At 46.6% G+C, this 23,040-nt stretch overlaps 1 protein-coding gene across 19 annotated transcripts in view, besides 2 other annotated features; it reads right to left on the bottom strand.

The window, feature by feature from the left end:
• PRKCE (protein kinase C epsilon) overlaps window positions 1–23,040 on the bottom strand; it is a 536,712-nt gene that overhangs the window by 406,441 nt on the left and 107,231 nt on the right. The window lies entirely within an intron of this gene.
• Window positions 2,626–2,920: an enhancer, noted in NCBI's record as "tiled region #1594; HepG2 Activating non-DNase unmatched - State 4:PromP, and K562 Activating DNase unmatched - State 12:CtcfO". NCBI's record gives its function as "activates a minimal TATA promoter and a strong SV40 promoter by Sharpr-MPRA in HepG2 and K562 cells {active_cell/tissue: HepG2 | K562}" and the evidence as "EXISTENCE:reporter gene assay evidence [ECO:0000049][PMID:27701403]".
• Window positions 2,755–2,844: a silencer, noted in NCBI's record as "silent region_11442". NCBI's record gives its function as "represses an Ori minimal core promoter by ATAC-STARR-seq in GM12878 lymphoblastoid cells {active_cell/tissue: GM12878}" and the evidence as "EXISTENCE:reporter gene assay evidence [ECO:0000049][PMID:35858748]".

Below are 23,040 nucleotides of genomic sequence, written 5' to 3'. Positions count from 1 at the left end.
ATGCAGAACAGCCCCTCTGACACTTGCAACTGCAAATTTTGATTAATAGAAAATAACAAACAAATTGTCATTAAGGTAGGGGGAGGGGAGACTAATCAAAGATACTGAAGAACTGAATATGATCATTTAAGAAAAACAGGGCTGAGGTTGGACTCCCTGCGATAGGGTGGTAAGCAGGAGTCAGAGGTAGTAATTTGATTTCTTTTTGGTTTTGAGACAGGGTCATGCTCTGTCACCCATGCCGGAATGCAATGGTGCGATCACGGCTCACTGCAGCCTCAACCTCATGGGCTCAAGCAATCCTCCCACCTCAACCTCCCAAGCAGCTGGGATCACAGACATACTCCACACCAGGCTTTTTTTTTTATTATTATTTTGTAGAGATGGGGGGGTCTCCGTATGTTGCCCAGGCTGGTCTTGAACTCCTGGGCTCAAGTGATCCTCCCGCCTCAGCCTCCCAAAGTGCTGGGATTACAGCCTTGAGCCACTATGCCCGGCCTAGTCATTTGATTTCTAAATTAAGTGATTCTTCCTCAGGAGCTTGTGATACAATATGTAAAGCATTTCACGAGCCCTGGCAATTTCTGCAAACACTGTCCAAATTTTTCCTGGCTCTGAGCTGAGACAGTTAAGCTGTCCTCAGTGGCTCAGCAGTGTCAACGGGATGAGCTAGCTGAGAATTGGAAAGACAGCATTTTTGTGATATTTTAGAAAATAGAAACATGTTATAAGAAGGGAAGAAAGCAAATGTGAAACCACAATGAGAGGAGGAAGCTATGACTTCCACTCATCATGAGAACAAGTTACTGAGCAACCCTGGCTGACCAGATGGTGGGATTGGGTGGGCCACCCATGGAAGGCTCTGAGATGTGACCCCCTGGAAACTGAGCATCCCTGAGGCCAACCCTACAGAGGTTTGGGGTGCCCCCTTTGTCTCTCACATGTGCCTCGAAAGACAAGTGAAAGGGATTGCTTGGGGAGGCCAGTGAGATGTGTCCTTCTTTCTTCAATCCCACCACTCTGGCTCTTGGTCGCCTCATTCTCCTGCCTAAGAAGCTCCCATCTTTATGCCAAGAAATCAAATCTAATTCTGCTCAAGCACCTAGAACTCATTACCAGTTTACAAGGAATATAGGGCCAGAGGAACAGGTTAAAAGACACCATGGGAATACAATCAGCAAAATCCAAAATGTGGGAAACTTTACAGGACAATGACTAGTTTCTTCAACAAAAAAAGAAATGGCAAAAACAAAAAAAGAAAAAGGAGGGAGTAGAAATCTATGAATGGAATGAGACATAAAAAACAGCACTCAAATGCAACGTATAGACCTTATTTGAATCATCATTCAAGCACATCAGCTGTTCAAAGTTTATGAGACAAGTGGAAAAATTTGAACACTAATTAGCTATTTGATGATATGAAAGAATACAGGTTTCTTTAATGTGATAATGGCACTGTGGTTATATATGTTTTAAAAGTGTCTTTGAGATCGATACAGATGTATTTACAGATGCAATGTATGATGTCTGGAGCTTTATTTAAAATAATCCAGTTCAGGAGAACCTATGGAGTGAGGTAGGGAGAAAACAAAATTGATTATGTATTGATAAATGTTGAAGCTGAGGGAGATTTATTATACTGTTCTAGGTTTGCATATGTTTAAAATTTTCCATAGTAAAAGGTTTAAGTTAAAAGATGACTGTGATATATTTTTGAATTTTTGATGACAAGGAAATTATAAAATAATAGTTAAAACATAACCCTATTAAAATAAATCACACTACATATGCATGTATTAATTTTTATATACTTGAATAGACATATATATCTATATACAGGCAAAGAAAATCTTCTGAAAGCATGTACCCCAAACGTTTAACTATTAATCATGTTTTCTGGGGGAGAATAGGCCTGGTAGGAGATTTTCTCTTTTTTTTTTTTTTTTACTTTAATATATTTCTGCATTATTTAAATTTCGTCCATCAAACGAGTCTTACTTCTCAGTTCACAAATGGAGCAAGGAAGTAGTCGCAGTGACTCCCTGGAGCTCTCAACCTAGCTCTCGCAGGCTCTGTATCCCAGACCCCTCAACCCACAACACCTGGCACAGCCCAAGATCAGCAAGTCTTTCCTCGCCCCCGGACATCCCTAGCACTAGCGCCGCCTCTGTGCCTTCATCCGCCAAACATTCTCTTCCCATGCCACCTTTCGAATCCTAGCTCCAGACCCACTTCTTCCATCCAAGCAGTCTTGCTGCACTACTGCAGTGTGCAAGGGTCTCTCCTCTCCTCTACAAGTTGGCCAGGAGCTAACTACGCCTTGCCACTGTGTCTGGACAGCGCATTCTTAGAGGAAAACAGGCCACAATCCCCATACTACCTAGGTAGTCCAGGACGTAGTTGGGCACGTTAGGTGCTCAGTAAAGTTCCAAGTTACTTAATCTTACTGAGCCTGGGTTTCCTCACGTATAAAACGGGAATCCAGTTACCTACCTGGACTGCTGTGAGCAAAAGTCAAAGTAAAGTAGGTAAAACTCCCTGCACCTGTTTCAATCGTTCTGCGTACACAAAACAGCTTCTCTGACACTTGTAACTCCAAGTTTTAAGAGAATGAGAAGGAGACGTGAAAATCCACGTGGATCCACTCACTGGGAAGAGCACTGAGCTCAGAACTGCCCATTAGTTTAAATATTAACAGTAATAGAAATAATGTCCCGGGGTCAGGAGGAGGAGCTCCGAAGGTCACACCTTGAGCTCCCACTAGGTGGCAGTATTGTTTACCTGCTGTTATGCAAATAGAGGGGAGGGCCATCAGCCGGGAACATACATCCTCTGAAATTGATGATACAAAGGAGGAAATTTCTATATTAATTTCCCCATGATAGTGGAATAGACGTTGGCTTGAGGAAATGCACCGAGTTAGAGGAACATCCGCTAAAAACCAATAATGAAACCCCATGAGGAGCCCTTAGTGTCTGTGTAGAGGGGGAGATGTGTGTGGGGTAGGGACGCTGAGTGAAAGTAGTGGGACCATCTCAAAGGCGGAACACCAGCCAAAGGCGAGAACCTGCCAGAAGTCCAAACCTTGACTCAACCTTTCACACTCGAAAAGTAGTATTAATGTGACCAGTCGAAATGAGGATCTCCCCATCAGGGTCTCCCAGAGCATAAACTCCACGGAGCTAAGCGGCCAGGCATGTTCTCTTGGGACATCAGTCTCCAGAGAAGCAAGACTGGAAGATAAAAGCCTCCTGGATTCCAACTTCCCAAAGCAATACTTTCATGTCCCACTGCTCAAAACCCCTCATGGCTCCCCACTTCTTCTAGACAAAGTCTAAACTTTGCCACCTGGTGGCAAAGCCATCAGCAATTGGCTTAAACTCCACCCACCAACCCCAGGGACTTGGGAAAACATTTGCCAACCCACCCCTCCCTCCCACCCTTACTCTTCCTCAATGCTCCCAATGAGGAAAATGAAGCCCAAGAGATAAATTGACTTGCTCCTCCCAAAGCCCACCCTCCAGTCCTCTGGGTTTTCTCTGCACAGCCCTGCTCATCCTGTGATACAGACTCGGTGCCAAGTCTTCCCATGCTGAAAAATGACTTTGAGTCCCTGGGGCCTGCATTCTGTTCCATCTCAAGAACCTTTGGTGTGGTGTCTGTGTTGAATTGTTGCTATCTTTTCTCTCCAAAAAGATCATACCTCCATGAGGGCAGGTAAAATGTCACGTTTCAGTAGAAATACTGCAAACCAAGTTTCTGGCAGGGGGAAGGACAATGCTGTGATTAGGAGTGTGGGGGCTGTGCAGTCAGGCTGAATCCAAATCCTGACTCTTTCCCGAACCGTATGACCTTTACAGGGGTGCCTACCCTCCCGGGGCCTCTGTTTCCTCATCTGTAAACAAGAAGTAATAATAATACGTACTGCATAGAGTTGCTAGTGCAGATTCAATATCAAGTACGCAGGGTGCTAGACGTATGTCTGGCACATAATAGGGACAAAGATGGCTATGTCCTGTAGTCCCAGCTCTGTTGCTCATCAGCTGAGGGGTATGAGGAAGTCACATTAGCTCGTGGGCGCCACTGCCTTCATTGGCAATACTGAGAAGAGTGAGGGCAGACAGGGTGGGCTACATAATGTGCTCTGAGGTTCACGGTGGCTCTAAACCTCCATGCTTCTCCAGAACACTTCTCACATTTCCCCAGGAGATCAAGCTGGTACATGAATATAAAGGAAGGGGGACCAAGGTGCTGACTCGGCCTACTTAAAACTCACCCTCTATCAACACCCATCTCAAACTTACCTTCTCAAGAAAGTTGTCCCTGACAACCCCCAGTCCCACTCTGCCTGTTTCAACAAGGTTAGATCCCACTATTTCATGCTTTCATAACACCCTATGCTTTCCCTTATAATACATATTCCAAATGTCGAGTGAATTATTAATTGTGGACTGTAATTCCCCATTTTGCAGATGAGCAAACTGATGTTCTGGGAACTCACGTTATTCTTCCAAGACCCACACAGCCTGTCAGTCAGCAAGCCATGAGACCCTGCACTCCTCTCACTAGGCCATACTGCTTCTAAGGGGTTTTTAGTTATATCAAAAAAAAAATGATAACTTTCATATTAAGGCTGGGGTGATTCCTTGAGAGAAGATACACAGATCAGAAGGAAGAATGGTCTGTGGACTCTTCAAATGAGTTTGCTTGGAGAGTTCTAGTCAGAAAAGAACCAGAGGCATACATGACAAAAGGCTGTGAGGCTGGCCTTCCTCCAGCAGTTTTCTCCAAGGCCCTGAAACCACATTTGGGCTTCTTTAAACGGAATCAGAGTGTCATGGTGGAGGGAGGGGGAGAAGCAGGGGCAGAGTAGCATCATTAAAGCCTCCTGTGTGGTTTTGATTAGATCATCTGAATTAATAGTTCTCACAGGCAGGTCTTGATTAAAAGCAAATAAGTTTGCGAGCAGACCACCTACTGGAAAATACTGAGCTTAAGATCAAAGTCCCTTGAGCAAAAGCCTGCAAGATCATGTGGGTGAGATTCTGGGCTTGGTCCGTTTATTAGGACACCCTAAAAAAATCTACCTTCATCCTTTAATCTGCAAGTTCCTGGTTATTTGTTCTCTTCAGGAGCAGTGGCAATTTCAGTTCCTCTCAAGTCCACCAACGCCTACTGAGTGTGTACCAGCAGAAAAGCCGAAACTCGTAGGGGATTCAAGTAATGATGTCTGATCCCTGACCTCAAGGAAAATGCCAAAGGGATGGCTCAGAAAGTGAGGAGAGTTTAAGGAGGGTGTTCATCAGGTCGCCTTTTCTCAGAAGCTTTGCTATTCAACCCATGTTATGCACAGAATTCATTGTCTAATTTTACTGAAAGGCAGAATTCTAAATCTCTTCAACTCCATAAGTAAATTATATGATCTTTCAGAATGTGATAAGTACATACTCTGCACTACAGAATAAATAGCATGGGGTAAGGAGATCAGGATGGGGGAAGGGCATTGCGGTTTTAAGTAGAGTATTCAGGGTATGCCTTATTGTGGGCACATTACAACAAAGATTTGAAGTGGGGTTTCAGTGATCAAAAGTGATCCAGGCAGAGGGAATGGCCAAGACAACAAGGGGATGCCTAGTAAGTCTCAGGGATGCAAGGAGGCCAGTGGGAGGAGTTGGGAGAGAAAAATGCACAATGAGGCCGGAGAAGCAGGGGTGGGGTACAGACCATGTGTGGCCTTGTAGGCTGTTTTAAGGATTTTCACCCATGATGAGAGCCCACTGTGGGATTCTGAGCAGAAGAATAACGTAACCCGAGGATCATGCTGGCTGAGGCAGCAGGAAGCTCAAGGGTGGAAGCCGAGAGACCCATTAGGAGGTGACTGCAAGTTCCCTGGTAGGAGAAGGCAGAGGCTCAGACCAGGGTAGTGGAAATGAAGAGAAGGGGTCAGATTCTGGATTTATTCTCTTCTTGGGCCCTAAGTTTCCTAGTTTGCAATAGTTTCAGCTCCCACTTTCCATCTTCCAGGGAGGTATGAAAATAAGTTGAAAACAACTCTATGGAAATGTTTGGGGGCTCTTTGATTTAAAATGGCCCCAGAAATTCAAAGGCAGTATGAATAAGCTCTTGCTGGTGGGAGAATTTCATGAGCCTCAAATGCTGTGAGCACTGCATGAAGCATGAGAACGGGCGGACTGCGTGGAGTCCACCTTCCCTTGTGCCCTTTCCGCATACACTTGTGTACATGCACACGGGGCACACTCACGGAGCAGGAAGACAGTAACTCATGGAGTGAGATGGCCTGGTGAGGGCACTTTTTAACCAAATGACCACAGGAAACTTATTTAATAAAGTCCAAGAGCCTTAGTTCCTTATGAGCAAATGAGATATAAACATGGACAATGGGGCTTGAGGGGCAATTACGTAAAGTGCCTGCCACGACACCTGACATGTAATACAGTCTCAGTAATCTTTGTTCCTTCCTCAAGGCCCCCCTTGGGAACCAATTCAACCGTGGGGAGGAGATCATCCAGAAGGCAGAGGAATCCACTTGTAAATAACTGAGAAGTGTCTACGCTGCTATTGTCATTTTACTATCCTGTTTACCATTAAGAAAAACAACTTCCTTCACCACACCCTTGCTGGGACCGTGTCACTGGGCTTCCTCGGGTCACAGTGATACCCTGGACTTGGAGACGAACTCAGGAATGGGAGGAGCAGGACTGAGACTCCCAGGCACACGGGAAAGGGTGCACTGGCCCTGGGAATGTGCAGCTTGGGTGGGTCCCTCCAGGAAAGAGTCAAAGTCAGGGTGACTGGGCGTCCCGGCTTGATTCATCTATCAGAAGGCAAGGTGGGAAATCAGGTAGTCTCACAGACCACAGCCTGTCTGTCTCCCTGGGCCTGTGGCTTCAGAATACCCCTCTCAGTGCAACCCTACCCCACAGGCTGCCTGCTCTGTACAGTCACACCAAAAGCCACCCGATTCCTGGCATTCAGCTTTCCCCAAGGCATGGGGTGCTTTGGCATGATGGAAAGGAGACAGGAGAGACAGGGAGGGAAGAGAATTTATCAAAAAGAGAGAAAAAGCGGGCACTCGGTCTCTAAAGCCGTGCTGATGCTGAGTTTGCCTGTACAGGCCTCTGACGGGACTCTGCCTCATCCTGGGTTCACACCTCCGTTCAACACCTATTTAGTGAGCACTTCCACAGTGGAAGGCTGGGAGCTACAGAAGATGAGATGAGGCTGCCCTGCCAGGCTGGTGTCCGATCACCTCCCGTGAGGCTGTGAAGCAGCTGCTGAGAGAGGGGAGGCCTTAGAACCTCACCAGTCGCAGGCCCTGACCACAGGGGTGGTCAGCCCAACATGTCCCAGCCAAGCCCAGCCCTGGAACTCCCAGGATGACAAGTCCCTGGCTCCCTCCAGCCCCCATCTCTCCAAGGGAGGTCCTACCAACAAAGGGTGGGTCCCCCAAGATGAACAGCAGCAGCGGGGGAGGGGAGGACTCTGGGGTCTAGAAGGAAATTTCTACTTCTAACCTGATGTGGCAGACAGCAGCAGCCACGGGATGACAGCAGCGGACAGCACCGAGCAAGAGCATCGCTCAGCAGGGATGTTTGCTGAAGGCCTGCTCCACGAGGAGGGCAGCCTTGGGCAGCTGCCCAGGGCACCTTACCCAAGGCCTGGCAGCCGTAGGTACAGGAGCCCCAGGGTATACTTCGTGGGCTTCTAGCAGAGCAGGCCACTCTGGATGGCCAGGGGAGGAAGGAGGTGAGAAGCAGCCCACAGGCTGCTGTGGGGCAAACAGGGGCTCTGTAACTTGGGCCTGCTCCTCCCTGCCATTTCTGAAGCATCGTCTTTCCCCAGGCCAAGGCCTACTTGGGGACACCTCTCACTGGAATTCTAGAATGCTCCCAAACAGTCAATTCAAGTCCCAATTACACAGTGAGAAGGGAGGCCCAGGAGTAATAACTGGGGAGGCAGTGTGGCCTAATCATTAGCACAAGGCCTTTGGAGTCAGCAAGAGCAGGTGTGAATCTCAACCCTACCTCTTGATGCCCAGGAGTTCCATCAGCTTTGGCTTCTTCGTCTGCACAAGGAGGATGACAGCACCTCCCTTACAGAGCTGCTGTGAGTAGCAGATGAGTTGATGTCTGTCAAGTGCTTAGCACAGGGCCAGGCTCAATGAATAGTGTCTGTCACTACTTCGGCCATCATCATCTCCACTCAATGTCACACAGCTGGCCAGAAACAAGCCTGAATCCAGGTCTCCTCGGCCACCACTCCCAAAAGGCCTCACCCTCCTGTAGCCTGGGTGACCCTTCTCCTGGGGACAGTGACATCAGAGAGCAGAGTTGGAAGACTGTGGGTCCCAGGAGCCAACATGGATCTTCTTGGGTTTATGACCTTCAAAGACCCACCCTGAGAGGTCCTGCTCAAAAGCCCCTCGGAGGGGCTATGCAGCCAGTGCCTAAGGAATCCTGAAGGGGAAGGAGCAGAGCAGCCAGAAGGAAGTTATTAGGTAGGGCTCTTGCCTTCCAGGGCAGGACGGTGCACTTCTCCCAGAAAGCCTTCCCAGTCATACACGGCCCAGCCACCTGCCATCACCACTCCATTCGGGCCAGTCTAAACACCTAAACAATGACAAACAGGGGCTCAATAGGGTGTCACGGGTACAGCACATAGTCTCAGGGTTCATGCAGCATGCCTTTCCATGCTAAGAATGGGAGGAGGACACCTTGTCCTCTTCAGCCCCTGCTCCTCTTCCCCGAGATACACTCCCTGACCACCTTCCCCATGCAGAGCTTGCTCCTTAGAACCCACAACTTCACCCTAAATGGTGCTGAGCATGTGGCAGATGCTCAACTCACATCTCTTCAGTAAGCAGCTGCCACTTAACTTCTCCAAGCATGGATGTCCAGTGAAGGCAGCAAGCTCACTGTGGGAAGAGCCTATCTCTCCTCAGTCTCAAGGGTCCCCAAAGAGCCTAGGATCAGGCAGAGTACCCAGGAGATGGTCAATTGAATAGTGAAAGTGATCAATGAATATCATGGCAAGCTGACAAAATCTGCATTTCCTAGGAGATATACAGTATTTATTGCATTTCTTTCTCATTGTGACCCTTGGAGATAGGAGACTGTCCCTCCCAGGTTCCTAAATCCCTCCTTACTTCTACCACCTCCCTTTTCTCTTTCCCATTGCTCTCTGTTTCTCTTTCTCCTTAGGTTACTTTTACTCCCTATCTTTTCCTTGCTGTCTGGCTTTTTTTTTTTTTATTTTGAGATGGGGTCTTGCTATGCTGCCCAGGCTGGTCTTGAACTCCTGGGCTCAAGGAATCCTTCTACCTTAGTCTCCCTGCTATCCAGCTTTATGAAGAAGAAACACAAAATTAGGCACCAGCATGTCTGGGTGCTAATTCTGGCTGCACTCGGACTACCTACTTAACCAGGATGAACAATCTACTCAGTCTCTCTGACCTCGGTTTCCCTTGCTGTCAAATGGGAACAATCACATCTCCAAGAGCCACTGAGAGCATGAAATGATATGAGAAGGGGTTGCCCTTCCCTCCCATGGTCGGCAGTGTGTGTTCAGAGAGTTGGGGGCTGTGGTTTGGGCCCCATGGCAATGACTGAGCATGCCAACCGGGAAGCTGGAATGACACATGCAGATCCAGCTCCACCATCCCTGCCCAAACCAACCTTTGGAAGACTTGGGACCCCAGGGAAATAGCAGGGGCAGAAATGGGCTAGAGGGCTCTGGGGAGGAAGGGGCACAGCCTGCCTGCCACTGGTGTTAGCCAGCCCCCAACACACACTCACACACACACACACACACACACACACACACACACGCCCCACTCTGTAGAGTCACTCCACGTCCCCTGTATCTTAGGCAAGTACAAAACTGGAACAGAAGTTCTAAGAAAAGACAAAGGGGGAGGAAGAGGAAGATGGCCAGGATTTAGTCCACTTCACAATGGGCGGCTCTCAGAGGGAGGAAAATCCTGGCCCACAGAGTGTGTGCTGTGTTGTGCCTGCTGTCAGCAGAGATGAGGCCGTTGCAGGGGACTGTGGAGAGAGAGGTCACCCTGAGGCCGGCCGACAGGTTCTCCATCTCCACCCGCTGGAGAGGGGAGGTGGCCGCGCCAGGGAGAAGGAACCTGTCATTAGCTGTCTGAGAGGCTCTTCCTCCGCAGGCTGCTCACAGCATCTGCCAGAAAAAGGATCTGCCTAACGTGAGCCTCTTGGAGCCCTATATAAACAGATGCTGCTCGCTCCTTTTCACTTTGCCTTCTGCCTGAGCCCCGTCCTTTGTTTTCCTTTCAGCTTCCAAATTCCCTAGCATCACCATCTTTGCCAACAAAGGACAAAAGTGAATCTCAGCCTGGGAGGAGTGGTCTGCATTGACCCACCTCTTCCCACCCCTGCATTCTCTACTCCCCAGTGCAGCCCCTCTAAACACTGGGGGACCCTCATCATCATTGAGCTCAGGGATCCACTGATTAGTCAACCCAGGAATGAAAGTACGCTTGGAGGGAACACTACAGCAGCTTTGTAAGTCAATTGCTAATGCAATCAAACTGGCCAGCATAAACAATGACCAAACTTAAATATTTTCCACTCACATTAATCAGCTCAATAATTCCTTAATGACTTCCTAAGAAAAGTGTTAAAAAAAAAAAAAAAGCCCTTGTTTGTTTTGATTTGGTTGGTCTTTTTCACCCTTGGTTAAGGAGCTCATTGTCTCCACATGGCAAGAAGCAGCCTGGATTTTTAGGAAGGAAGAAATAATCCGCTGCAGATGGGGCCAGTACTGGTGACCTGCAGGTTGAGAGAGAGGGTACGGTTAGAGAGCTGGCATCCCAGCCCCTGGGCTTCTCGCTGTCTCAATTTCATCATCCACCTATGAAGTAAAGATGCCCATAACTGTCTCTTGTCTAAATCATAGGGTGTTTTTGTGGTTGTGGGGGGCGGTACCATGGCTGTGCCCTGCCTGGTCCTCCTGTGAAGGTAGGACGCTCAACCAACATTCAGACTTCTGTGGAAACAGTAAACCGTCCTTCTGCGAGCTCCAGAAACACAAGTGGCCGAAGGGACGCCATATATCTAGTGTCTCACAGCCTATCTCAAAAATTACAGTCTACGTGAACATGAGAACCTTAGGCAATATGCACACTTTTGAAACAGAAGAGTGACATCATGTCCCTAAAATAAAAAAGCCACAGTCAGTGTTGTTTCCAGACAGAGGAAGCATGGTTTTTACCTACCCCATGCATCCCTACAGTATTTCCAGATTGTCCCTGACCAGTCTGCATTTGACCCTAGGGCAGAGCAGCAACTCCCCGGACAGGAGGGGAGCAGAACAGTGTCCCCCAGGGCTGCAGTCCGAGAGAGGGCTGGAGCATACACTACTCCAATAGCACCCGCTACTGCAGGAGCCACCCAAGAGAGGGGATAAAAGACATGCGCATAGAGAAGGAGAGCGTTTCACAGCCCCACCTCTTGCAGAACTGCAAATCCTGTGTGATGGCTGTGTGAGTGTGCACCTGGGCATCCAGGCATGTGTCTGTGAGTGACAGTACGGGGTGCACGTGTGCCTGCTGCACCCTGGCAAGAGCAAGGAGCCATGGGAGATTGGCGCCGTGTACATGTTTCTGCCTATCTGTTCTCAGAAGGGTTCCTCCTCACACCTCCTACTGTTTTAACCAGGGTGCTGGAATTTAAGAATTTAGAGACAAGGATGCACTTAGCAAAGGCTAAACATCCACAGGTTAATCTGTATCTGGTTGATTTGTACCCTAAGTATGACCCCAGGAAGCAAAACATATCAAAATATGTGAGCACAGAATACAAATTTCACATTAAAGACAAACTGGCTAAAACCCATAGAAAAGAAAAGAACTTACAAACTCATGAAATAGAATCCCTTCACAATTCTGTATCACAGGTTAAACAAACTTAATATCAGTGAGAAATAAACTAGTCTCTGGATGAAAAATGGTTAGTTCTTCAGTTTCCGGGGCCCAAGATCCCTGCTGGATGCCATGTTACTCAAACTACTCGCCAGCGATTGTGCATGAATGAGTGTACACACAACCATCAGATACGCATGCAAAAAGCCACACACACACAGATGCAGATATGTACATACACACACACCCCTCCCAGCCCTGCCAAAGGGAGGCAGCATGACTGAAGCCCTAACACCTAACAAAAGGGGTGTAAGAAAAAATGGCAACTAAGATGTATCCATGGGGAGGAAGGAGAAAAAAAGGAAATGCAGCTTGACTCACAGTTTTGAAGGCATAAGGTGGGCGAGGATGAAAAGACTTTTGTCAAGAGTATACAAAGGAAGTCAATGAAACAGTTGGGTCTCACTGGCTCCCACACAGAACAAACCCAGCCAGACTCCAGATGATTAAAAATAAACTAATCTGATTAGAGAATTTTAAATTTGGATTGATTGTCCAGTTCACCAATAAATGGCAACAAACAATTTAAATCTTGTCCCACAGCTCTGCTGCCAAAATGGCCCGGAATTTGCCAAGCTTTGAAAGCAGGTTTTGAGGAGGTGAACATGTCAGTAGCAGAACAATCAGGTGATCCATAAATATCTGTGGCTAAGCCCTGTCCTGGTAACGTGGAGATATGAAGTTGTCCATTGAGTTCTGGGCCTCCAGTAGCCTACTGCAAGGTGGAGACACAACATTTGGATATAATTAAGCATTAGCCAACAGATAGATGTAAAATGTGTGTTAAGCTGCATGGTAAAGACTATAATTCCTACACATATTCAGAGAAGGGAGAGAAAATCAGTAGTAGAAATGGGTTTTCCTTCATCTCGCATGTGAAAGACAGAGCATTTGGATAAACAGAGAAAGAAAACAGCATAATTGCTCAATATCCATTCTCTGTCTGGCCCATTGTTCAGGTAGGGCTCAGGTGAGAAGGAAAAGAGCACCTAGCATCATCTCCCAGCCCTCACTGTCCCCTCCTAACTCTCCCCTACCCATCGAGCCCCCTGGCCAACTATCAGAGACTTAAGTTTTTACAGAAGGAAAAGAGGGAAGGGAAAGCTAAAATGTCCTTCATTTCTCAACCAAAATGAGAAATCATGAAAGGGGGAACCCAACTAATGAAATGTGATATGGTCCCTGAACTGTTCCTTCCAGAAGCCATCCCCATGGGACTCACACATAGACGATGTCATTTGGAGTTAATCAGATGTCTCTGTAGATAATTAGAGCCAGGCCAGGATAAGGCCAAGGAAAAAAGCATTCCCATAATATACATTTAGCACTGTAACAGCTTTTCAAGGCTCTTTCGTGTTTTGATTTCTTTCTGCTATGAAAATGGTCAAATTTCCTAAGAGATCACATCTACCCACTGGGAAACATCTGGAGGAGAAGAGTGGGAAAAGCTTGGCCATCTTAGAGTTTCTTCTCCATGATCTCTGGCATCTAGGTTTGGGTAACCACTCATGAACCCTGGCCAACAATTTTGCTTCTCACCAGGGCACTGGCACCAATGCCAAGGAATAGCTCCTCTCCAGGAAGCTTCTGGAAGCTCAGCACTTGAGTTTTCACTCCTCTGCTTGGTATCAAGCCAAATTTTGCTCTTTGAGGTATTTTTGCATGGATCCATTATTCCCACAAATGTTTTCTATCCCTTGGTGTTTCTAGTTTACAATGCTCTAGGAGGCAAACACCTGTGATACTGTGAAGGGTGGTGGAAGTCTTCAAATTCCTAAAATAAAGCCCTAAGTCTTCCTCCAGTAAAACCATCCAATAAGGAATCCAACACATGGGTCTTTCCAATGGACATGCATGCTAGAGAAAGCAGCAAGTCCACAGAAGCACTGCTGACAGTGAAGGCACATTCTTTGTAAGGCCGTTCCTTTGATCCTTAATAAAACTTCAAGGCAATAATTGGAGAAAACTTATGCCCCCGGAGATTGAGTGTGCTAGATTACAAAATTCTTCTGGGTGTAAAGCCTTCAGTATTACAAAGCCCAAACCAGTGCCTTCCTGTATAAACTCTCTCTGCAGTGTGAACATGGTTGATTACATACCCTCTTTCTACATAAATTCCCTTACAAGAGGAAGAGGCAGGAAGGCCAAGACTTTTGGATAAGCATAACCAAGATGCTGAGATGATACATATTTCTGACATAAACATTCTTCCAAATTCTGAAAGTACTTAAAATTGCCCATTAAGAGGTTGGTTAAAAGGAGCCATTGCTGTGCAGATTTTTTACTTTCTTGTTCCTTTTTTTAAAAAGTTTCAAAGAACATCAATGTATTAAGTTAGAGGGTTGGGCTAATTCCTCTCTACCCTCCTTCCAGAAGCAGAGGTATTTGAGAAAACTGTTGCCTGCATCTTATATTTGAGATAATTATTTGATAATTAGAAAAAGTACATTTCTACGGGAAGCAAACGCAAAGACCAAAGTAGAACATGACCGTGCCATTTTTCCAAATTTGCCCACAGGAAGTTACTTATTTTTTTTTTTTTAGACTGAGTTTCACTCTGTTGCCCAGGCTGGAGTGCAGTGGCCTGATCTCAGCTCACTGCAACCTCCACCTCCCAGGTTCAAGCGATTCTCTTGCCTCAGCCTCCTGAGTAGCTGGGACTACTGGCACACGCCATCATGCCCGGCTAATTTTTTTGTATTTTAGTAGAGATGGGGTTTCACCGTGTTGCCCAGGCTGGTCTCGAACCCCTGAGCTCAGGCAATCCTCCCACCTTGGCCTCCCAAAGTGCTAGGATTACAGGCATGAGCCTCCGTGCCCGGCCCAGACTTTTTCTTTTGTCCCACAATTAGGAATTTGAATGTGAGTGGAAGAGGCACCTATGAAGCATGATTCAAGAGGCCCAAGATATGCTAGTCACCCTAACCAACATGTACCCTGCCTATTAGGCCATCCTAAGGTCTGAAATTCCACCATGAAGATTTCTCACTGGTTAGAAACACCCCAGGTTCTTCCTTTGTCTTACTGTGATTTGTTTATCATGCTTCCCTCAACTATCTCTCTCTGTCTCCGTGTCCCCATTAATTCTCTAGGAATCTCTCCGATCTAACCCAAAGGGAAATAGAAGGTCTGCAGACTGGGAAAAAAGAAGAGAGTAGAACCAACCCTCAAGTGGCCACAGGGCTTTTTCTCTTACTGGATTGAGAAAGTACTAGGCCTCACTGAAGTCTTCCTTCAGAATTGACAGAGGTCTGCACGGCACCCAGGACCAAAAAAGGTAATAGAACATTTGTTCAAGTCCTTCAGATTAATCAAAAGCCCCCTCCTTTCCTTCTCCCAGTCGATTATCTTGCCCTGAAATTTTGGATGAGCAGGAAACGTAATTGACTATGGAGTATACGGACCTGCACGCTTCCATGCACCACAGATCAACACTGCAGATCCCCATAAACACAGATAAACTTGGGTACCTGCCAGCAATGCAAGGGAACTGCTGTGCTTGCCAGAGTCCTAAAATAATCTCCCCTATCTCCAGTATTTGTTTTAACTTTTCTTTTGCCTGGAGGTGGGGGAGGGGATCAGGTTGGAACCAACGTCTGGACTTGCAACTTCATTGCAATAAGGTTCTTAGTTCTTTCTGCTACCCACAGTTACCCAATATAATTCCCTTTCCTACACTTGGACAGGCTTTTCTCTTGATTGGAAGTGGGAGGAGGGAGGGTGGCAGGAAGAAAGGGAAATCCCCTTCTGTGCATTAATTCTCTGTATTCTAAAAGGCAAACTCTGCCAAGAGCCCAGTTCTGGGAAGCTGCTCTGGAGACAGCCCAGGATCCCACTGGGTGGTCTCATCTTTGGGCTTAGGACGTGGGGGTCAACAGTCCAGAGTTCTATTTCCAGCACCATCAGAACTTTGGCCAAGTTACTTGACCTCTTTTCATAAATGCTTTCCCCCAAATGAAAAGGAAAAAGGGGAAGAGGAAGAAAGAAGTGAAAAAGAATGACACCACTGCAGAGGCAAAGATGAGGTATTGAATGAAGAACTTTGGAAGCAAACCACAAAAGGTATTGCTACACACAGCACAACAGCCCTGCAGGGAGGTAGTAGAATTTGAGAACGAGGCCAAACGGAGATGGTTACTCTACAGCTTCAAGGCACCGGGGAGTCCAAATGAAGCATCTCCTCAGCACTCTACCTACAGTTCACACCTTACAACCCAACCTGGAGACTCCATTGGCCTTGGCCATTAGTTTGACCTTTCAATAAACATATTGTTTTTATTGTCAAGAAAACCTCTTCAGAAAGCTTATTCTCCAGGCTTACTCATCATGTGGCTGCTTCTTATAAAAAACAAAAATAAAGGAAACACTGAAGAATTAAGTAAAAATTAATTAGAAGCACATGGTTAAAACAGGCTTAGAGTTATGCATGGCTTAAGAACGTATTAAGGGTAAAGCGTTTCCTCCATCCAGACTTGAAGATTTGCTGAAAACAAGGCCCGTGTGAGTGGGTGGGTTTTTGAGCGGCTGGCATTTTGGACTGTACCAGGCCAAAGCCACAGGGAGGAAGGCTATGGTTCACATGGGGTCCACGTCCTTCAGCATGTTTGCTCTGCTCTTGATGTCAAGGAGAGACCTGAGAGATGCCAGAGACTCCATTGTCTCTAAGGCATTCAAGTAGGACCATTGTGTGAGACATAAGAACAAGAATAAAGACAGGAGTTAGGAATATTTTTAATATATGTTGATTTTAATGGGTTTAAAATATATATATAGTCTAATTCATTTGCAGCAGAATGAATGGCAATTTCCAAGCTCAAAAATAATAGTAACCCCAGCCTCAAGTTTCTGGCATGGAAGTAATAATTTGAGCTTATTTCTAAATGGGCTTACTAAATGAACAGATCAATTTTTTCTCAAATTTATGATATAAAAGAAATGGATGAAAAGAAATTTGGGAAGCTGAAACCTGCTGTCACCTACCTCTTTCATTTAGCCTCAGATCTGAATTGCCCTGTCTGGTTTCGGGGCCATGCCTGTCCCACTGCACACATTCGAGCTGCAGATATTCACTTTCACATGCAGGGGTCATGTCTAAAAACTGAACCCTGATTGCAACAGAAGCCAGTTAGAAGATTAATTAGTTAAGTATTTAATCAATTAATCCTGAATTAAGATCCCATTTTGGCTTTACTAGCCATAACCATTTCTTTCTTTGAACTAAAATCTTCTGCCTTCATTTATAAGCTCTTAAACCACGTGTTTGAATTTCCTCAGGTGGGCTGGAATTTTACCCCTCTTGTGTTGCAGAAGTGTAACTTAAATGGGCCAATATTTTCACCTACGGACATTCGTACAGGTGGGCTTTGCTTTAAGAAACTCAAGGAAATTAGCGTTTTAAGAACAGATAAAAACAATTCTTCTTATTGTGGGAGGACTCTTTTTGGTTCCTCCTAAGATACACTGATAACAAGAACTCCTGGGGTATTGTAATTGAAGCACTGGCCCCAACCCAAGGGATCGCAGTTCAGGACATCAAAAGATCCTTCTAGTTTTGAGATTCTGTGGTTGATACTAAAAATCAGAACCAACCTAAAACATAAGCAAGACGGCAGAGGACTGGGAAGGGAATTTAATTAGGTAAAAGGATGTCAGATCTAAGTGGAGAAACTGCAGGCATACAAGAAAGAGTCCACCAAAACAAACACCAAAGCTCCCAATCTGTTCAATTCGGCTTGGGATTCTTTTAACAAGGTGTGTGTCACTTTTCCCTCCACCGTGAGAGAGAGCCTAGAGCTGGCCTTCTCTTTCCCCCACTGATAAAATGAGTGGGTTAAACTACATGATCCCTTGGGCCCTTCCTGACTTTAGCGCTCACTGAGTCTGGGCAGAAGGGCAGCAAAAGACAGCGGAGGGAGCCTGAGACTAGCAGCAGCATGGCGGGTTATACCAAGGGAGATTGCAGAATCAAGCCCTACACTGAGTATTACTAAACTTAAATGCTGAAAACTGTCCTAGAAGAGGGAAAATCAATGAGGGCTGAGGTCCTTTGGAGACTAGGGAGGGGGTGGGACGTGAGCAAAGCCTTAACAATTCCTGTACTAGGCTGCACAACATTAGGTCTAGGTCCAGATGGTGAGGATGAAAAATGTTATGAAATCATTTCAGCCCCTGCCCTTTAGCATAAGCTTAGGCTTAATCATCCACTAGACAGGTCTCTGCTGTTTTTTACTGAAAAGTTCCTTATCTAACAAAGAAATGCCCCTTCCATTCACAGGCCCAAAGCAAAGCACACCCAAGATGTAGACTGGCCAAAGAAAGAACACCTCAAGGCCAGGAGCAGTGGCTCACGCCTGTAATCCCAGAACTTTGGGAGGCCGAGGTGGGAGGATCACGAGGTCAGGAGACCAAGACCATCCTGGCTAACATGGTGAAACCCCATCTCTAGTAAAAATACAAAAAATTAGCCGGGTGTGGTGGCAGGCGCCTGTAGTCCCAGCTACTCAGGAGGCTGATGAGGCAGGAGAATGGTGTGAACCCAGGAGGCGGAGCTTGCAGTGAGCCGAGATCGCGCCACTGCACTCCAGCCTGGGTGACAGAGCAGGACTCCGTCTCAAAAAAAAAAAAAGAAGAAAAGAAAAGAAAAGAAAAGAAAGAACACCTCAAGAGACACAGCTTTCTCCCAGCACCTACCTGTAGCTTGCTCTTTGACCACTCTGCCTGTTACAGCCTGAGGGCCCCCAACAGCACAGAAGCTTTTTATCCTAGGCTTGACACTTTCTTATCTATAAAATGGGCTATCAGGTTTCCGTTAGGTTGCTGGGTAGATTACATAAGCAAATGCATTAGCACTGGACCTAGCATAAAATAAGTACTCAATAAATAATAGGTATTATGTTGATGGAGAAATGAAGCTATCCATGCAACTCTAGATGTGCTGGTCTGGGAAGAATCACTCTCCATGTATCTTTTAGATAACATCTTCCTTGCCTTCCCAGGCAAGCTCTTCCAGATAGAGCCAGGCACAAGATGCCATTTTGATCCACTGAAAATATCCTTCAAAAGCTTCAAAGGATGAAAAAGAGCCTTGGTGTACCAAAAGGGACTTTCCTCTGAGCCTCTGAGGATGTGAGTTTGAGGCCACCCAGCTCATCCCATCCCATTCCCAAGTGACAAAGTTCAGCAGGGAGCAAAAGAGAAGACTGATCAGGGAAAAAGGCAGGAATTTTGGCATAAATTTGAGTATTACTCAGTTGGTCACCAGTTTTCCCAGCATAGTGAGACCCGCTGGGCAACATCCCCAGATACACAATCTCTTCCAATAGAAATGAATGCTTACTGATCCTGGTGGCCAAAGGCAGCAAGAGTCCTAAATCCTTCGGAAGTAAGAGAGCTTGACAAAATGCCATGCTTCTCCTTCTCTTCCATTGATGAGAGTAAAAGTCTCAATGTATTTGAAACATATTTTTGATACGATAAAATGGTGGTGGTGTATAGCAGCTACTCCCCTAGAGAGTGGCTGAATGGTGCACGCCAACCAAGGGAACCCATGTGAGAGGGTGGGATGGAAACCCAGGTTGGGAGGGACCCCTCATCAATGCCTGATCTGCAGTAACTCCCTGATGGGAAGCAGGAACTTGCTGGGTGGTCCTGAAGGGCAAGGAGGCTTTAAAAACAAGGAGACCTGGACTCTGCTTTTATGATTCTTGGAAGGGACCGATGGGATGCAGACAGCCCTGGCTCAAGCAGGAAGGGTGAGAAAGCGGGGTGGCTCAGGGATCAGAATATGGCAGCGAGGGCTCAGTAGAAAACCTTTGAAATCAGATAGGGAAGTGCTTATCTCATACAAGAGGCCAGAAACTTGCAGGAAGCCAGGGCAAGCTTAGAACAGAAGACTGTGGCCAGAGAGGAGGGTGCGAGAGGGGAGAGGGAGAGACCCAGGCCAGAGATTAGACTGGGGCCCAAGTCCAGATCCACTAGACCCAAAAGTGAGGCCAATTGGAATCTTCCTCAGGCTGGGGGCTTGAGAGAATATCAGAATCTCCACAAGCCCCGTTCTTTCTGATAAAATGGAGACAATAAAAGTGTATACTTCTGGACGTCATTGTGAAGATGACATAAGTGTTGTAGGTAAAGCGCTTGGGACACAGCAAATACTTAACACATGGCAGCTATTGATAGGAGGAATTGAGGCAAAGCCAACCTACTGGCATGTATTCCTTTCTGTACTTAGATTTTTTTTTTTTTTTTTTTTTTTTGAGATGGAGTCTCGCTCTGTCGCCCAGGCTGGAGTGCAGTGGTGTGATCTCGGCTTACTGCAAGCTCTGCCTCCCGGGTTCACGCCATTCTCCTGCCTCAGCCTCCCGAGTAGCTGAGACCACAGGCGCCCACCACCACACTCGGCTAATTTTTTGTATTTTTAGTAGAGACGAGGTTTCACCGTGTTAGCCAAGATGGTCTCAATCTCCTGACCTCGTGATCCGCCCACCTTGGCCTCCCAAAGTGCTGGGATTACAGGCGTGAGCCACCATGCCCGGCCTTAAATTTTTTTTTAAGTAAAATCACCCTGTCTAGACTTCAAACTCCTTGAGAACATGTCAAAGTCAAGAGCAGGTGCTCTAATGCCCCAGTTAAGATAAACCAGGGAATAGTATACTAAGGGTTTTGGTAAAGAGACAAGGTCAGCTCTGGACTCTGGAATCAGACGTGCGTTTCCCTTTATGCCTCTGGACACCAGGACACTCAGCACCAAATCCGATACCCAGACAGGGTAATTATATGATGGAAAGTGGGAACCCAGGGGCAGGAGGGCACCCACATCCTTTCACCGGGTATAATCTCACCAAGGCCAACGAGCTTTCCCCTCTGAATGTCCACTACAAAGCCTCCTTTGGGAATTTGTCTTCAGTCTCGTCTTCAAGAAAATGATTCTAAGTTAATTTTACATCAAGCCAGAGCCCCTAAAAGCCACATCACTGGACCTTGCCAGCTTAGCCACTGGCCAAATTACCTTCATCGTGTCACGCCTTGGTGTTCAATCCTCCACGCTTATGAAGGCTTTTGTTGTCGATGGACCTATGTTTATTATGCCACTGTGTCTTTTATGTAAACTCCCACATGAGAAAATGATTTTAGAAAAATGTGCCAGGAAGAATTTTGCCTCCCCTGAAGAGTTGGTAGACTTTCCCCTTTCTGATCAATAAAGCTGTGCGATTCACCTGGTTTTCATTATGTCCTGGCTGCCAAGAAGTGCAAAACCAAATCCAGTGCTCAACTGGAGCAACCATACTAGCCACTTTCTTTCTTTCTGTGGCCTTGATTTTCTATTTGTGTGTTAATTTTATTGGATAAGGTGGTTTGCAGGAAGATGCCTCCATCCTGAGAAGACAGAGGCAGGTCAGGAACCAAGTAAAAGCAATACATTCTACCCCTAATCTCTTCTCCTTTTCACAGCCTGCCTCCTCCAAGTAACCTTCCCTGATCACCTCACTCCACAGAGATTGCTCCCTCCTGTAATTCCAGCAGCTGTTACAGCCCTTTCCTGCAGCACTTTCAAATGCATCTGCTTTTGCGTGCATAGGTATTGTCCCTCCTAACTGGGACCTAAGCTAAGACTCAAGGGCTGCTCCCATGCCCTTCAGTATCCCCCATAAAATCTAACTACACATTAGAAACTCAAAGAATAGCATAGGCATGATCCATCACCTGCAACAGAAGCAGTGAGGAGACTTAAGCCAGGATTCCTCCAAGAGATTCCACCGCCCCTCCCTGCATCTCTGAATGCCGGACTCCTAAGCATTTACTCAGATTTTAAACAGCACATAATGCCATGGCGAGGATGATCCCTGTGAATGCTTTTAGCAGATTACTCACCACACTGACTAGCTATTTCTGTCTTACTCCTGAGATCATAACCGAGGCACTTCTATACTTACATCAAAGAGTGTAATAACTGACATTTCAGATTACAGCTACGTGGAGGTCTGCCCTTAAGGAGATGGCGCTAATTGCTGAATGTGAGGAACAACAGGCATCTCCCAGCCACCGCAGCCCTTGCTTCCTGCAGGAGCTCAGGTGTGAAAAGAGAGGCTTGGTCTCTCAAGGTCTGAGATGCACGGGAAGCCTCACAGCAGTAGCGTCCCAGCTGGGCCGAGCTCGTTCTCCAGCCCTGCACCGACATGGATAAATCGGAGCCATCTGGCTGGCTCCTCCTCTCACACGTGTGTCAGCTCCTCTCCAGCCTCCAGGCCCCGTCAGCCTAATGTGCTCCTTATGCCCAGAACCTGGAGTCAGCTGTCCTTCAAAACAGAGCAGCTCAAGACATACTAAAACCATGAGCCCACATACCACTTATTTGTCACTTATTTGTCATTTTATCAATACTGCCTTGTTCTGGCATATTCTGTCCCTGTATGTGTCTAGAGAAGGGGTTCTCAATGGAGGGCAGGGGCAGGGGACAGCACAGTGCCCCATTGGGGAGAGGGGAGAGTTTGGAAAGTCATCTTCAAAATCACCTATAAATAACTAAATTCACTTTGTAAATTCAATCACCCTGTGGGAGGCATGACCCGGAAGCTCTCCTGCTATCTCATGAGTGCTGATACTCTCCCACGGTCCCTTCACCATATCACTCCCTTGTTCAAGACAACACGCCGGACTCCCCACAAATTCACATCACCTTCAGGCTGCAATGCACCCTCTGCACTTTACAGGTGAGGAGGCTGAGGCCTGAAGACGCTAGGTGATTCACCCCTAAGACACAGCCTAATAAATCTTCTAGTCAACAAAAATTTATTGAGCATCCACTACATTCCAGGCAGTGTCCTAGGCTCAGGGGACATAACTGTAGAGAAAACAAAGTCCATATTCTTAAAGAGCTTACAGAACTTCCATTCTAGTGGGAGGAAGGAAAAATAAGCAAATAAAGATACATACCTATGTTAGGCAGTAGGGGAGGAAGGGCCTGCAATTTTCAATATAGTGGCTGGCGAAGGCCTCTCTGATGGGGTAACATTTGGGCACAGATCAAAATATGTGAGGGAGTGAGGCAGGAGTTCATCTCAAGGAAAAGTGTT

The sequence above is a fragment of the Homo sapiens genome, chromosome 2 (genome assembly GCF_000001405.40).
Source record: "Homo sapiens chromosome 2, GRCh38.p14 Primary Assembly".
NCBI classification, from domain to species: Eukaryota; Metazoa; Chordata; class Mammalia; order Primates; family Hominidae; genus Homo; species Homo sapiens.
Note: the sequence above shows the minus strand (reverse complement) of the source record. Positions and strands in the feature narration are given on the sequence as shown.